Source organism: Homo sapiens, chromosome 18 (assembly GCF_000001405.40).
Source record: "Homo sapiens chromosome 18, GRCh38.p14 Primary Assembly".
Lineage (NCBI taxonomy): Eukaryota > Metazoa > Chordata > Mammalia > Primates > Hominidae > Homo > Homo sapiens.
This window is the reverse complement of record NC_000018.10, coordinates 46,898,555-46,913,944: the sequence shown is the minus strand read 5'-3', so window position 1 is coordinate 46,913,944 and position 15,390 is coordinate 46,898,555. Positions and strand designations below refer to the sequence as shown.

Sequence of the window (15,390 nt, the reverse complement as noted above, 5' to 3'; positions counted from 1 at the left end):
CACACCTGTAATTCCAGCGCTTTGAGAGGCAAGAGGATCGCTTGAAGCCAGGATTTCTGGGTTACAGCTAGCTCTGATCTTGACACTGCACTCCAGCCTGAGCGACAGAGGGAGACCCTGTCTCAAACTAGTCTGTAGAAGAGCTAAGCACAGGGATGGAGGAGAGCAGGAGTTGAGTTTCTGGAATCACTTACCTCTTCTTTAACCAGAGCAGCTTTTTCTTTACCCTTCCAGTTGCATATTTCCAATATTGTGGTCTGCTGGTGGCAGTCATTCACAAAAAGGTCCCTGCTACACTTTAACCTGGTTAATCTACTTTCCCTACTTCTCATCACTCAATGGGGAGGAGGGGGATCTATTGTAGTGACTTTTTTTTTTTTTTTAAGGATCTCCCTTCTGTATTCTTCATCCCCTTCTTTTCATGCATTGAGAATTTATTCTGTGTGTGTCTCAGAATGAGAGAGAATGTGCCTGTGAGAATCTGGTTGTGCATTTGGCCTGAGAGAGCCAGCGATGATAACTTTATCAATAGATACTGGGTAAACCAGAACATTTACCAAACTGGGTAAATTTGTTGTGTCATAATTCGAAGATCAGATTTGGGTCTTTCATGCTAAGAAGCCTAAGTAATTCTGTAACAGAAGGTCTTCTGTCTAGAAGGCTTAAGTGTTTGGTTTCCTTACACCTACCAGGAGTCACCATCCTGATAACTTCAAGTGCTGTTAGGATGCAGCAGGAGAATGGGAAGTTAATGGGGGATTTGAGGTTAGAGGTCCTCATCACGCTCCTCTCCCCATTTATTGGGCAGGGATACAGACTAATAGCTATGATAGATATAACAGAATCTTCCATATGATTCAAAGCTATTATGGGATGCAACTAAAATTTCCAAGGCTTCACCTGAGCTCATGTCTATGAAAGCACGTTCGAAACAAAATATATTTAACTTAAAGTGAAATAGGCTGGGCGCAGTGGCTCAAGGCTGTAATCTCAGCATTTTGGGAGCCTGGGGCGGGTGGATCACCTGATGTCACATTTTTTATTCTCTCATTTCCATTTCTCATATTTTTTAAATGAAAGCAATATTTGTGCAGACAGTACTGAAAAAATTCAAAATAGTGAAAGTCTTCCCTTTTCCATTAAATCCCACTCCCATTATGCTTTTAACCATTTTTGTTTGTTTGTTTTTAGGGTTTTATTGTTGTTCCAAAAGTCTAAAAATATACCATGCCTTTCTCTCTATATTTTTTCAACTCAAAAAAAATATTTCTTAACTTTTTGCTAGATAAGAAATTTAGGTCATTTTCCACCTGTCCTAGACTTTGATTTCTATCAGTTACATTTTGGTTCCTAATTTTGCTGTTATTTTTAACTTTTTATTATAAATTTCTGTTTATTGACCTATCACTTTTAGACAGTATATTTGGCCCTTCATGTCTGTGAATGACTTATCTTTGGTTTCAACCAACCTTGGATCAAAAATATTCAGGAAAAAAGGTTGGTTACATCTGTACTGAACATGTACAGACTTTTTTCCTTGTCAGTATTTCCTAAACAGTATAGTATAACAACCATTTCATAGCATTTGCCATATATTAGGTATTGTAAACTAGAAATGATGTAAAGTACGTAGGAGGATGTGTATAGCTTATATGCAAATACTATGCCATTTCATGTAAGAGACTTGAGCATTCTTGGATTTTGGTATCTGCAGGGGACCCTGGTACCAGCCCCCTACGGATACTGAGAGACAACTATATTTCCTCACTTCCTGGTCTTTCAGAAAAAGATATAACACCGATCCCTTTCCTTTTGGGATTTAAAAGCCAAACCTTGCCTTTGTTTTTCCCTCCTCCCTTCCTAGCCTTTGTTTTCTTTTTTCCTTTTTTTTTTGAGACAGGATTTTGCTCTTGTTGCCCAGGCTGGAGAGCAATGGCGCCATCTTGGCTCACTGCAACCTCCGCCTCCTGGGTTCAAGCGATTCTCCTGCCTCAGCCTCGCGATTAGCTGGGATTACAGGCACCTGCAACCATGCCTGGCTAATTTTTGTATTTGTAATAGAGACAGGGTTTCACCATGTTGGTCAGGCTGGTCTTGAACTCCTGACCTCCGGTGATCCACTCCCCCTCCCTTGGCCTCCCAAAGTGGTGGGATTACAGGCATGAGCCGCTGAGCCCGGCCCCAGCCTTTGTTTTTGGTTAGTACTGTTACATTGGCAAGATTTATTGCATTTATATAATGTTTTATAACTCTTCTAAAGTTTTCTGTGCTTCTGCAGGAAAATCTAGAAATTGAGTACTAATAGCCACTCTTTTAAATATGTATGTTGACATGAGTATTAGTTACTATAGAACCAAGTACTGTGGAGCCATAGAGAAACTTCACTTCTGTTAAACCTGTGATCCTTAAAAAGGAAATATAACAAAGTCAGCCGGGCACAGTGGCTCACGTCTGTAAGCCCAGCACTTTGAGAGGCCCAGGCAGGCGGATCGCCTCAGGTCAGGAGTTAGAGACCAGCCTGGCTAACATGGTGAAACCCCGTCTCTACTAAAAATGCAAAAATTAGCCCGACGTGGTGGTGGGCACCTGTAATCCCAGCTACTCGGGAGGCTGAGGCAGGAGAATTGCTTGAACCCGGGAGGTGGAGGTTGCAGTGAGCCAAGATCATGTCATTGCACTCCAGGCTGGGTGACAAAGCAAGGCTTCGTCTCAGGAAAAAAAAAAAAAAAAGAAATATAACAAAGTCCTGGTTGAATGAGGAAAGCTCATTGAAGTTATTTTTAAAATTTAATATTATAATGGGTTCTCATGTTGTAGCCATTCAGCTTGTCTTGGTAGACTTTCCGGAGTCTTGGCCTGCCTTTTCTAATTTGGGAAGCTTAGTAGACCTGTTACCCAGCTGTCATCCTGGGATTACTTCACATTGTTCTCCTGGGTTAGATCTATTGTTATTTGGATCCCATGTTTTTCTCTTTTAGATACCTTTTTTATTTTACAGGAATACAGCCTTCAATAGTTGTTTCTGGAAGGATATGCTGGTGATAAACTTTCTGAGTTCTCGAATGTTGAAAATGGCTTGTCTTTGTTCCTGATTGAAAGTTTACATGTGGAATTATAAATTCCTCAGAATTTTGAAAACTTTGCTGTGGGAATCTAAAATACTTGGTGTGCTAATCAGAGGTCCATTGCAGATCTGATGGTTATTCTCCTGTAGAAGATTGTAATCTACAATTGTAGTCTACGATCTACGGGATTTGTTTACATTCTGAAAGGTTTCTTTGATTTTGTCTTTGAACTTTTCTATAAAATTTATTTCAGTAGTTATCTTTAATTTATAAGAGTTCTTCTATCATCTTTCATTTTTCTTTCTTTTTAAATAGCAACCTGTCCTTGATTTATGGGGAAATACCTTGAATTTCTCTGATGCTAATTTCTCTAGAGTTCTTGAGACACTTCCCTGAATTGGTGACTCTAACAGTGGGTTTGTATTTAGGTATTCCATACTAATTTTTGTATTTTAAATATTTAAGTTATTTGATAAGTACAAAAGATTATAACAGGTAAGGCGTATGTAAACAAACATACATATAATTACCAACCAGTTTACTAATTCATTAGTGTAACTTTAGCAGGATGCACTTTCCTGATCACATCCACTGCAACCATGTCCACCTTCACCAATGACAGTAGCCATTGTACTGAATTTTGGATTCATCATTCCTGGTCTGTCTTTATACTTTTAACATATATACATATGTAAAATTTATTTATTTATTTATTTATTTTTTGAGACGGAGTTTTGCTCTTCTTGCCCAGGCTGGAGTGCAGTGGCGCGATCTTGACTCACCGCAACCTCCTCCTCCCAGGTTCAAGCAATTTTACTGCCTCAGCCTCCCGAGTAGCCGGGATTACAGGTGTGCACCATGCCCGGCTAATTTTTTTGTATTATTAGTTTTCACCATGTTGGCCAGGCTGGTCTTGAACTCCTGACTTCAGGTGATCCACCCGCCTTGGCCTCCCAAAGTGCTGGGATCACAGGTGTGAGCTACTGTGTCTGGCCATCCATATTTCTTAAATCCAAATGTTTGAAAATGAAGAGAAAAAAACTGTAAAGTTTCACCAAACTTGTCTTGCAGAAAAACCCTGACCTGCACTGATATTGTAATCTTTGTTGATCTCACTTAGTGTGAATATTTGTATGTTTCACTGTAGAGATTCTAGGAATAGAATTGCTGGTATTTAAGAAGAATGTGTGCATATTCACCAATATTGGATAATGTCAGATTATCTTCCAAAAAAGGTGGTGTCAGTCTTCGTTCTCTCCAGCAATGCAGAAGTTTTCATTACTCAGCTTTCTTGCTAACATCTACTTTTGTCACACTTCAAAAGGTTTTATCGGTTGGGCATGGTAGCTCACGCCTGTAATCCTAGCACTTTGGGAGGCCATGGTGGGTGGATGGCTTGAGACCAGGAGTTTGAGACCAGCCTGGGTAAAATGGTGAAACCCCATCTCTACCAAAACAAAACAAAATTAGCTGGGCATAGTGGCCCACACCTGTAGTCCCAGCTACTTGGCAGGCTGAGATGGGAGGATCACCTGAAGCTAGGAAGTGAGCTGTGATCATGCCATTGCACGCCAGCTTGGGCAACAGAGTGAGACCCTGTTTCAAAAAAAAAAGTTTTTACCCACGAGTATAAAATACCACCTTTTAGTTTTCATTTGCTTTGCTAATGAGTTTGAGCATCTTTTACTATACTGATTAGCCATTCTTCCCTTTTCTCACATTCCTATTCATGTCTTTTGCCCATGTTTGTACTAGTTTTTTAAAAAAATTATTTCATACTGATTTTTAATAGTTTCACAGTTGGATGCATGTGGTGCAAATTTCTCCTTTCAATTGGGCTCACTTTTAAATCATTTTTATTTTTATTTTTTGAGATGGAGTCTCACTCTGTAGCCCTGGCTGGAGTGCAGTGGCGTGATCTCAGTTTACTGCACCCTCCACCCCCAAGGTTCAAGAGATTCTCCTGTCTCAGACTTCTGAGTAGCTGGGATTACAGGTACCCGCCACCATGCCTGGCTAATATTTGTATTTTTAATAGAGACGGGGTTTCACCATGTTGGTCAAGCTGGTCTCGAACTCCTGACCTCAGGTGATCTGCCCACCTTGGTCTCCCAAAGTGCTGGGATTATAGGCATGAGCAACTGCATCCAGCCTTATGCGTTTTTTGATGAGTAGAAGTTCTTAATTTTTATGTGATTGCATTTATCAGGCTTTTCTTTATGGATAGTGCTTTTGAATCTTGTTGAAGAAATTTTTCAACAGAGTTCTCGAAGATATTTTCCATTATTGTAAAAGTATAAGACGTAGTTTTTTTGTTTTTTGTTTTTGTTTTTTTTTTACCTTTTCTCATTTAAGGTTTTAATCCACCTGGAGTTGATTTTGTATACAGTGTGAAGTGGTGACCAAGATGCATGGTTTTTCCTCAAAGAATAATAAATTGTTCCATCACCTTTCATGCAAATTTTTTTCTTCACTGGTTTGGATGCCATCACTCATCTGTGCTTTGGTTCTGGACTCTGGGCCGTTAGTCTGTTTTTACAGAAATTGTTAAAAAGTTACAGTAACTAAAACAAGATGATGCTGCTGCTAGCATAAACAAACTTCTTGCCTGGTGAGGTGGCTCAAGGCTGTAATCCCATCACTTTGGGAGGCCATGGTGGGAGCATCACTTGAGCCAGGAGTTCAAGACCAGCCTGGGCAACATGGTGAGACCCCATCTCTGTGTAAGATAATATTTTTTATAATAAAAAACCAAACTTCTTTTGATATATAGCATACACATAGGAAGTACACAGATAATGAAATTATAGCTGGATGAATTTTCTCAAAATAATAATCGTGCAGGTCAAGAAAGAGAACATTACCAGCACTCTAAATATTCCCCTCCCCAGTGGCTAACCTCACCTCATTCTTCCAAAAGCGACCTACTATCCTAACTTTAACAGATTAGTATTGCCTGTTTTTGAACTTTATATAAATGGAACCTGTGTAGTATATATACAGTTGCCCCTTGGTGTACCTGGGGGATTGGTTCTAGGATCCACCCTCCCAACAGGAAAATCATGTGTACTCAAGTCCTGAAGTTGGCCCTGCAGAACCCATGTATAGGAAAAGTTGGCCCTCTGTATATGTGGGTTTCACGTCCTGCAAATACCATATTTTTGATCTGCATTTGGTTGAAAAAAAAATATGCGTATAAGTGGACCTGCACAGTTCAAACCAGTTGACAAGATACAGTTGACCTTTGACTAACACAGGTTTTTGTTATTGGATATGTTATTGTTATTCAATATTCAACTATATGTTATTGTTATTCAAAGGTCAACTGTATTCTGTTTCTGTATATGTATTCTGTTGTTTCTGCCTTTTTTTCTGTTTCGTTTGCCAGATTCATCCTTATTGTTGTCTGTAGTTGTAGTTGGTTCATTCCCTTTTGCTAGTGATATAGTAGAGTTCCAGTTGCTCCATATCCTTGTCTACCCTTTTAATTTTAGACACTCTGGTGAATGTGTAGTGGTTTTAATTTGCATCTCCCTAATAAGTAATGATGTCAAGCTCCTTTGAATGTGCTTATTGGCCATTTGGGTTTCTTTTGTAAAGTGGCTTGCCAAGTCTTTTACTCATTTTTATATTGGGACATCTGTCTTTTCCATACTGATTCGTAGGAGTTCATTATACATCTTGGAAACCATCTCTTGCTGGTTATGTTTTGCACATACCTTCTCTTGTTTCCCCTGAGTCTATTCAGAGTTCTGCTGGACTTTTAACCTCTCCATTGCCCTTTTCCATTGGCAGATATCTCCGGGGAAGGCATCAAGAGACTCAGCTTTGCAGGCTCTCCTTCTTTTCAGAGTCTTGGTGTCTCAGGTCCTTACTGCCTTTGTAGTGCCTCCTGCATTCACACAGATTTTTGTTTTTTAATATTATATTCAGTTGTTAAGTTCTCACAGGGAGGGTTGGTATGAAACAGTCTAGTCAGTCATTGAGGGAGACAGAAGTAGCACAAGTCCTCCTGGCTTGTAATTGTTCAAGGAACTTCTTGATTGTTTGCTTCTCCATGTAATTTTAGAATCATATTTTCATGTTATACACCTCCCCCCCCCCCCACACACACACATACATCTTGTTGGTATTTTGATGGGAAATGCACTGAATCTGTAAATTAGCTTGGAGAGAATTACATTTTGCTGCTAAGTTTTCTTAACCACAATCATTGTAATCTCCATTTCTTTTAGGTTTTTTACAACATCTTTCAATAAAGTTTTGTTATTTTCAGTTAAAGTATTGCAAATATTTTGTTAGATTTATTTCTAACAAATTATTTTTATAGCAAATCATAAATATTAACTTTTTATAATTATACTTTGCTGGTGCACAGAAGTACAGTTTGACTTTGTATAATAACCTTGCTATACTCCTAATTGTGATTAATTATCTTTAGATTTCTTTTGGATTTTTCTATGCAGACAGTCCTATCTGTGAATAATGACCTCTTTGTTTCCTCCTTTCCAATTCTTATGCTTTTTTTTTTTCTTTCTTTTTCTTGTCTTAATGTGCTGGCTAGGATCTCCAGTACAATGTTGAATAGAAGCTGTGATGGGGGCATCCTGATCTTGTTCCTGATTTTAAAGGGAATGCTTTCAAAGTTTCACAGTTAAGTATGATGCTTGCTGTAGGTTTATTATAGATAATCTTTTCAGGTTAAGGATGTTCCCTTTCTTAGTTTGCTAATTTAAAAAATCATGAATGAATTTTATCAGAAGCTTTTTCTGCATCTTTTGAGAAAATTATTTCTCTTTTGTAATCTGTTAACATGCTGAGTTATATTAATTTTTTTCCCAATATTTAAACAAACTTTGTGTTGCAAGTATAAATTCAACCCTGATCTATCTGTTCCTTTTTTTCACTGGACTCAGTTTGGAGATATTTAATTTAGGATTTTTGTCTCTCATAATGAGTAAAACTAGCCTATAGTTAAAAAATATACCTTTTCTCTTCTGGAAGAGTTTATGTAACATTAGAAAGGTCTGTTTCTTAAATATTTAGTAGAACTTGCTTATAAAATTATTACTATTGTTTTCTTTGAGGAATGCTTCAATTGCTTTGGTTGTAGGACTGTTCATATTTTCAAGTTTCAAACCTGTTTTAGTAGTTCATACTTTTATAGAAAGTTGTTCATTTCATCCACATTCTTGAATTTGTAGCATTTAGTTGTTAATCTCTTCTTTGCAGTTACTTGTAGTTAATATCCCCTTGTCTTTTTTTAAAATGCCTTCTTTTTTTCTTGATAATTTTTGGCTAAAAGTTTGCCAATTTTTAAAGATTTTTCAGAGAATCAAGTTTTTGATATTGTTTATGCTCTTTAGTGTATCCTTCCTGTTTCATTAATTTTTGCTCTTCTTTTCTTTTCTTACATTTCCTTTGTAGTTCTGTTCTTTTTTTCTAATTTCTTAAGCTGGGTGCCTGTCATTAATTTTCAGCATTTTAACATAGTTATTTAAGATCATAAAATGTCTGCGTATTGCCTCCTTGTTTTGATGTGTGTGATATTTCCGTTATTTTTACTTGTATTTTTCTATTTTCCGTTGTGAATTCTTTAACTTATGAGCTATTTAAAAATTTAATTTCCAAACAGAGTTCCTCTAGTTGATTTGGCTGTTGATTTGTAATTGCATTTTGGTTAGGCAGCCTGTTTGAGTGTGATGCCAATTGGTGTGTATAATGCCAACTCTTTGAAATATGTTTAGACTATTAAAAATGTGGTCCATTTTAATAATTTTTATTTGTACATGAAGAGACTATGTATTGCCTGGTTTTTGGTGCAGTTTTATATATGTTCATTATGTAGCCTTGTTAATTATGTTGTTCAAATCTCATATCTTTATTTTTTATTAAGAGAGCAGAGTTAATCTTTTACTAGAATTTTGTTTCGTTTTTCATTTTTCTTTGTAGTTCTATCGATTTTTAAACCATATTTTAACATTATTACTAGCACATGAAAGAACTGTAATCCTGTAATCTTAGCACCTTGGGAGGCTGAGGTGGGAGGATCACTTGAGCCCAAGAGTTTGAGACCAGCCTGGGTACCATAGTGAGACCCCCATCTCTGTTTTTTTTTTTTTTTTGAGACGGATGGAGTCTTGCTGTGTCACCCAGGCTGGAGGGCAGTGGCGCGATCTCGGCTCACTGCAACCTCCACCTCGTGGGTTCAAGTGATTCTCCTGTTTCAGCCTCCTGAGTAGCTGGGACTACAGGTGCCTGCCACCATGCCTGGCTAATTTTTGTATTTTTAGTAGAGATGGTGTTTCACCATGTTGGCCAGGCTGGTCTTGAACTCCTGATCTCAGGTGATCTGCCCACCTGGGCCTCTCAAAGTGCTGGGATTACAGGCCTGAGCCACCGCACCCGGCCTTCTAGGTTATTTTTCTTTTTTTGTCAGTTTTGCCTAATTTAAAAAATTTCTCCTCACCGTTACATTTTTGTGTCCTTTTATTTCAGTTTTATCTCTTTCAAATATAATACCATTGAATTTTAAGAAAATTAAAAATCTAGTCTGATAGTCTTACTCCTTGTAGTTTTAATTAAACTTTTAATGAAGATAATTGTCAGTTCACTTGCATTTCTAGGAAATAATACAGAGACATTCTGTATACTCTCTCTAGTTTTTTTTCAGAGTTAACATCTTAAAGACCATAGTACAGTATCACAACCAGGATATTGACATGAACACAATCAAGATATAGACCATTTTATCACCACAAGGATCCCTCTCTCCAAAGTATTGTTATTTTATAGTCACACTTGTTCCTGTCTCATCCAGTTCCCTCACTCTCTGGGGCCCGCTCATCTTTTTCATTTCTATGATTTTTGTCTTTTCAAAAATATTACATAAATAGAATCACACAGTGGATAACCTTTTGGGTCTGGCTTTTTCATTCAGCATAATTCTGGAAATTCATCCAAGTTGTTGTATATAAACAGCTCATCCCTTTTTATTGCTGAATAGTTTTCCACGATATGAATTCACTATAGTTTGTTTAACCATTCACCTGTTGAGGGACATCTGGGTTGTTTACAGTTTTTTGATAATTATGAATAAAAATGCTATAAAGATTTGTGCATAGGTTTTTTTGGTAAACTTACGCACACATCTTTCTCGGAGATAAATGCCCAGGAGTGTAGTTGCTGGGTTGTGTGGTCATTGTATGTATAGTTTTTAAAGAACTTGCTAAACTGTTTTCCAGAGTGGCTGTACCATTTTACATCCCTACCAGCAATGTATGGAGTGATCCAGTTTCTCAGCATCCTCGCCAGCATTTGGTGTTATCAGTGTTTTTCATTTTAGCCATTCTGGTAGGTATCTAGTGATATCTCAGTGAGGTTTTTATTTGCATTTCCCCAATGGCTAATGATGCTGAACATATTTTTATGTGCTTATTTGCCATCTGTATATCCCAATCCATGACATGTCTCTTTGTGTCTTTTGTCCTTTTTCTAATTGAATTCTTTTTCTTTTCCTGTTGAGTTTTGAGAGTTCTAAGTATATCCTAGATAGTAGTCCTTTGTCAGATATGTGTTTGCAAATGTTAATATTTTCTTTGAGTCTGTTGATTGTCTTTTTTTCCTTTTAAAGGGGTCTTTTGCGTAGCACAGGTTTTAGTTTGTGTGAAGTCCAGTGTGTCATATTTCCTTTTATGGATCTTGCTTTTAGTGTCAAATCTAAGAACTCTGCCTAGTCTTAGATCCCAAATATTTTCCTGCTTATTAAAAAAAAGTTTTACAGTTTTATTTTTACATTTGACTCTGTGATCCATTTGGAGTTATTTTTGTATAAGGTATGAGACTTAAGTGGAAGTTCATTTTTCTGTCTATGGGTGTCCAGTTGATCCAGCACCATATATTGAAAGGCTGTCTTTCTTCCACTGAGTTAATTTTACACCTTTATCAAAAATTATTTGGGTATGTATGTATATGTCTGTTTCTGGGTTCTGTATTCTCTTTGCTTGATCTATGTGTCTACCCTTCCACTAATACCATGCAGTCTGTCAGTCCTAGCTAAGTTGTAAAATGGGATAGATTGATTCCTCTCCCTCTGTTCTTTTTAAAAATTGTTTTGGCTGTTCTATTAATATTTCTTTTGCCTTTTCATATACATTTTAGAATAATCTCATCTATATCTACAAAAATCTTGTTGGAATTTGGATAGGAATTATGTTAAACCTATATATCGGTTTGGGGAAAGTTGACATCTTTACTATGTTGAGTTTTCCAATCCGTGAAGAATTTATTTGTTTAGGTTTTCTTTTCTCTTTTTTTTTTGAGACAGAGTTTTACTTTTGTTGCCCAGGCTGGAGTGCAATGGCACGATCTCGGCTCGCTGCAACCTGTGCCTCCCGGGTTCAAGCAATTCTCCTACCTCAACCTCCCGAGTAGCTGGGATTACAGGCATGTGCCACCATGCATGGCTAATTTTTTTTGCATCTTTAGTAGAGACGGGGTTTCTCCATTTTGGTGAGACTGGTTTCGAACTCCCGGCCTCAGGTGATCTGCCCACCTCAGCCTCCCAAAGTGCTGAGATTACAGGCGTGAGCCATCGTGCCCGGCCTTTAGATTTTCTTAGATTTTTTTTTTTTTTTTCAGTGTTTTGTAGCTTTCAGCATATAAGTCCTGTACGTGTTTGTTACATTTTTACATATGTATTTTAATTTTCTTTGGAGTGTTATAAATGGTGATGTTTTTAACTTGTTTTCACATGTTCATTTTTAGTGTATAAAGATGTGGTTGGTTTTTGTGTGTTGATTTTATATCCTGGGACCTTGCTGAACTCACAAGTTCTAGGAGTTGTTTTGTAGATTTGTTGAGATTTTCTATGTGAACAATCATTCCATCTACAAATATAGTTTTATTTTTTCCTTTCAACTCTTACTGCTTTTATTTCCATTTCTTGTCTTATTCTGCTAGCTAGAACTTTTAGTACTGTGTTGAATGAGGGGTGATAGTAGGCATCTTTGCCTCAGTCCCAATATTAGAGGGAAAGCAATCTTTCCGCCCTGAGTATAATATTGGCTTAATTTTATTTTTTTGGTAGACCTGTTTATCAAATTGAGGAAGCTCTCCTCTATTCTTGTTTTTGAGGGTTTTTAAATCATGAACAGGTGTTGAATTTGTGAAATGCGTTTTTCGCATTGATTGATTTGATCATATGATTTGGTTTTTTGTAACTGTTAATATGATGTATTCTATAGATCTCAAAACAAATACAGAGATAAGACACAGTGAAAATGCTGAGCAGCAGTGGCATATAATGAACCAGTCTTGCATACTGGAATAAACTCCACTTGGTCATGGTGCATAATGACCATGGTGTTTAATTCTTTTTATATATTGCTGAATTTTATTGACTAATATTTTGTTAAGGGTTTTAACGTCTATATTCATGACGAATATTGGTTTGTAGTTTAATTTTTTTTTGGAGACAGTTTTGCTCTTGTTGCCCAGGCTGGAGTGCAATGGCATGATCCTGGCTCACCACAACGTCCGCCTCCCAGGTTCAAGCGATTCTCCTGCCTCAGCCTCCTGAGTAGCTGGGAGTACAGGCATGTGCCATGGCTAATTTTGTATTTTTCTTAGAGATGGGGTTCTCCATGTTGGTCAGGCTGGCCTCGAACTCCTGACCGCAGGTGATCCGCCCGCCTTGGCCTCCCAAAGTGCTGAGATTACAGGTGTGAGCCACCGCACCCAGCCTGTAGTTTAATTTTTTGTGTTGTCTTTGTTTTGTTTTGGTATCATGGTAATATTAGTTTCATAAAATGAATTTGGAAATATTCTCTCATCTTCTGTTTTCTGGAAGAAATTATATTGAATTGTTGTTAGTTCTTCCTTATTTTTATTTTTTAATATTATTTGAGACAGAGTTTCGTTCTTATCACCCAGGCTGGAGTACAATGGCACGACGTCGGCTCACCGCAACCTCCGCCTCTAGGGTTCAGGTGATTCTTCTGCCTCAGCCTCCTGAGCAGCTGGGATTATAGGCGCCTGCCACCGGGCCCAGCTAATTTTTGTATTTTTAGGAGAGATGGGGTTTCACCATCTTGGCCAGGCTGGTCTTGAACGCCTGACCTCGTGATTCACCCGCCTCGGTCTCCCAAAATGCTGAGATTACAGGTGTGAGCCACTGTGCCCAGCCTCTATTTTGTATTTTTTTCAGATGAGGTCTTACTCTGTCACCCAGGCTGGGAATATTGGCATGATTATAGCTCACTGCAGCCTCAAACTCCTGGGCCCAGGGTATCCTCCTGCCTCAGCCTCCTAAGTAATCAAGACTACAGTTGAGCACCACCAAGCCGTGGTAATTAAAAACAATTTTTTTTTTTTGGTAGAACCTGGGTCTCACTTTGTTTCCCAGGCTGGTCTTGAACTCCTGGCCCAAGTGATCTTCCTGCCTCAGCCTCCCAAATAGCTGGGATTAAAAGGTTGGAGCCACTGTTCCTTGCCTATATTATCTTTTTTTTTTTTTAAAGATGGAGTCTCACTCTGTCACCTAGGCTGGAGTGCAGTGGCGTGATCTCTGCTTACTGCAACCTCTGCCTCCTGGGTTTAAGCGATTCTCCTGTCTCAGCCTCCCGAGTAGCTGGGATAACAGGCTCCCACACCACACCCAGCTAATTTTTTATTTTCTGTAGAGACTGTGTTTTACCATGTTGGCCAGGCTGGTCATGAACTCCTAACCTCAAGTGATTTGCCCGCCTCGGCCTCCCAAAGTGCTGGGATTTCAGGCGTGAGCCACCATGCCCAGCCAATTTTTGTATTTTTAGTAGAGACGATGTTGGACCATGTTGACCAGACTGATCTCAAACTTCTGGCTTCAAGTGATCTGCCCACTTGGCCTCCCAAAATGCACCCTTGCACCCTACTACCAATTTATATGCCTTCATTGCTCAGCATTTTCATTCTGTCTTATTTTTATATTTTTCCTGATGCTGTCAGGATGAGATCTGTGTTTTCTTAACCTCACAAATTTGATAGTTACTTCATATAGTAAAGGTTTGTTTAGTTGACTACCTCCCTCCCCACATTTGTTTTCTGTGAAAAACGAACATCATTCTGTGATTTTAATACTCATTCTGGGCCCAGCATGGTGGCTTATGCACTTTTAGAGGCCAAGGCAGGAGCATCACTTGAGCCCAGGAGTTTGAGACCAGCCTGCAAAACATAATGAAATCTCATCTTTACTAAAATTAAAAAGATTAGCAGGCATGGTGGTGTGTGCTTGTAGTCCCAGTTATGCTGGAGGCTGAGGCAGGAAGATCACTTGAGCTCAGGAGGTTGAGGCTGCAGTGAGCAGTGTTTGCACCACTGCACTCTGGGCAGCTGAGCCAAGACCCTGTCTCAAATAGCAACAAATAACTCATTCCTCTAGATTACTCTGGTTCGGCAGTGGTGAGCTTTTTGCCTTTCACTTTCATTGAGTGTGTTAGGCCTGCCTTTGTCTTCAGGACTTTTGCATTTGCTATGGAATGCCTTGGAATGCTTTTCCTCAGGTATCCATAGAGTGCTTTCCTCCTGCTTCAGTTACTTATTCAGTTACTATTTCAGTGAGGCCTTTCCCCTTTAAAATGGCAAATCCTCTACTTCTTCACTTTTTGTGTCCCTTCCTCCTTTGTTTTTGTTCATTTTATTCATCATGACCTGCCATATTATATGTTTTATTTAATTCTTTATTAAGGTTTTGGTCTGTTAAGCTCTCCAACTCATTAACCAGTCGTTGGAATTTTTTTATATTTATAACTTGGAAACAATTGATACCTTTTCAGTGTTGAGTATTTTTATCTAGTAACATGCATGATACAGTCTGTTTAATTTATTCAAAGCTTTTTTTTTTTTTTGAGATGGAGTCTCACTCTGTCACCCAGGCTGGAGAGCAGTGGTGCAATCTCGGCTAACTGCAACCTCCGCCTCCCAGATTCAAGCAATTTTCCTGCCTCAGCCTCCCAAGTAGCTGGGATTACAGGCACCCTCCCATCACGCCCGGCTAATATTTGTATTTTTAGTAGAGACGGGATTTCACCGTGTCGTCCATGCTGGTCTCTAACTTCTGACCTCAGGTGATCCACCTGCCTCAGCCCCCCAAAGTGTTGAGATTAGAGGCGTGAGCCACTGCACCCGGCCTCAAAGCTTCTTTTATTCTATAGTTTTTTAATGTACCTCTTGCAAAATTTTAAAATTTATTCTTTTGCATTTTATGTTTTTGTGTTACTTCGGTTTTTTTAATACTCTTTTTCAGCCATTTGAAAATGTATTTGATATACGGAAAATTCAATGTTTT

At 38.4% G+C, this 15,390-nt stretch overlaps 1 protein-coding gene across 30 annotated transcripts in view, besides 4 other annotated features; it reads left to right on the top strand.

Moving 5' to 3' along the window:
- The window catches only part of PIAS2 (protein inhibitor of activated STAT 2), a 116,928-nt gene that overhangs the window by 6,201 nt on the left and 95,337 nt on the right, over positions 1-15,390 (top strand). For 11 of the 30 annotated variants that reach the window (NR_148703.2, NM_001324046.2, NM_001324048.2 and 8 more), the window contains exons 2-3: positions 7,630-7,718; positions 10,310-10,418. The exons of 10 other annotated variants lie outside the window; for them this stretch is intronic. Coding sequence is in view for 1 of the 20 variants with exons in the window: in XM_006722573.3 (XP_006722636.1) it covers positions 10,310-10,418 (109 nt within the window). In the remaining 19 variants the exon portion in view is untranslated. Of the gene's footprint in view, positions 1-7,629; positions 7,738-10,309; positions 10,419-11,387; positions 11,511-15,390 lie in introns of all 30 variants that reach the window. 9 more of the 30 variants (NR_148701.2, NM_001354036.2, NM_001324047.2 and 6 more) reach the window with 4 other exon arrangements.
- Positions 2,040-2,539: an enhancer, noted in NCBI's record as "H3K4me1 hESC enhancer chr18:44491369-44491868 (GRCh37/hg19 assembly coordinates)". NCBI's record gives its function as "activates a minimal SCP1, AML or CMV promoter by ChIP-STARR-seq in naive H9 embryonic stem cells {active_cell/tissue: H9 hESC(naive)}" and the evidence as "EXISTENCE:reporter gene assay evidence [ECO:0000049][PMID:30033119]".
- Positions 2,540-3,041: an enhancer, noted in NCBI's record as "H3K4me1 hESC enhancer chr18:44490867-44491368 (GRCh37/hg19 assembly coordinates)". NCBI's record gives its function as "activates a minimal SCP1, AML or CMV promoter by ChIP-STARR-seq in naive H9 embryonic stem cells {active_cell/tissue: H9 hESC(naive)}" and the evidence as "EXISTENCE:reporter gene assay evidence [ECO:0000049][PMID:30033119]".
- Positions 14,018-14,843: an enhancer, noted in NCBI's record as "OCT4-NANOG-H3K27ac hESC enhancer chr18:44479065-44479890 (GRCh37/hg19 assembly coordinates)". NCBI's record gives its function as "activates a minimal SCP1, AML or CMV promoter by ChIP-STARR-seq in naive H9 embryonic stem cells {active_cell/tissue: H9 hESC(naive)}" and the evidence as "EXISTENCE:reporter gene assay evidence [ECO:0000049][PMID:30033119]".
- Positions 14,272-14,341: an enhancer, noted in NCBI's record as "active region_13283". NCBI's record gives its function as "activates an Ori minimal core promoter by ATAC-STARR-seq in GM12878 lymphoblastoid cells {active_cell/tissue: GM12878}" and the evidence as "EXISTENCE:reporter gene assay evidence [ECO:0000049][PMID:35858748]".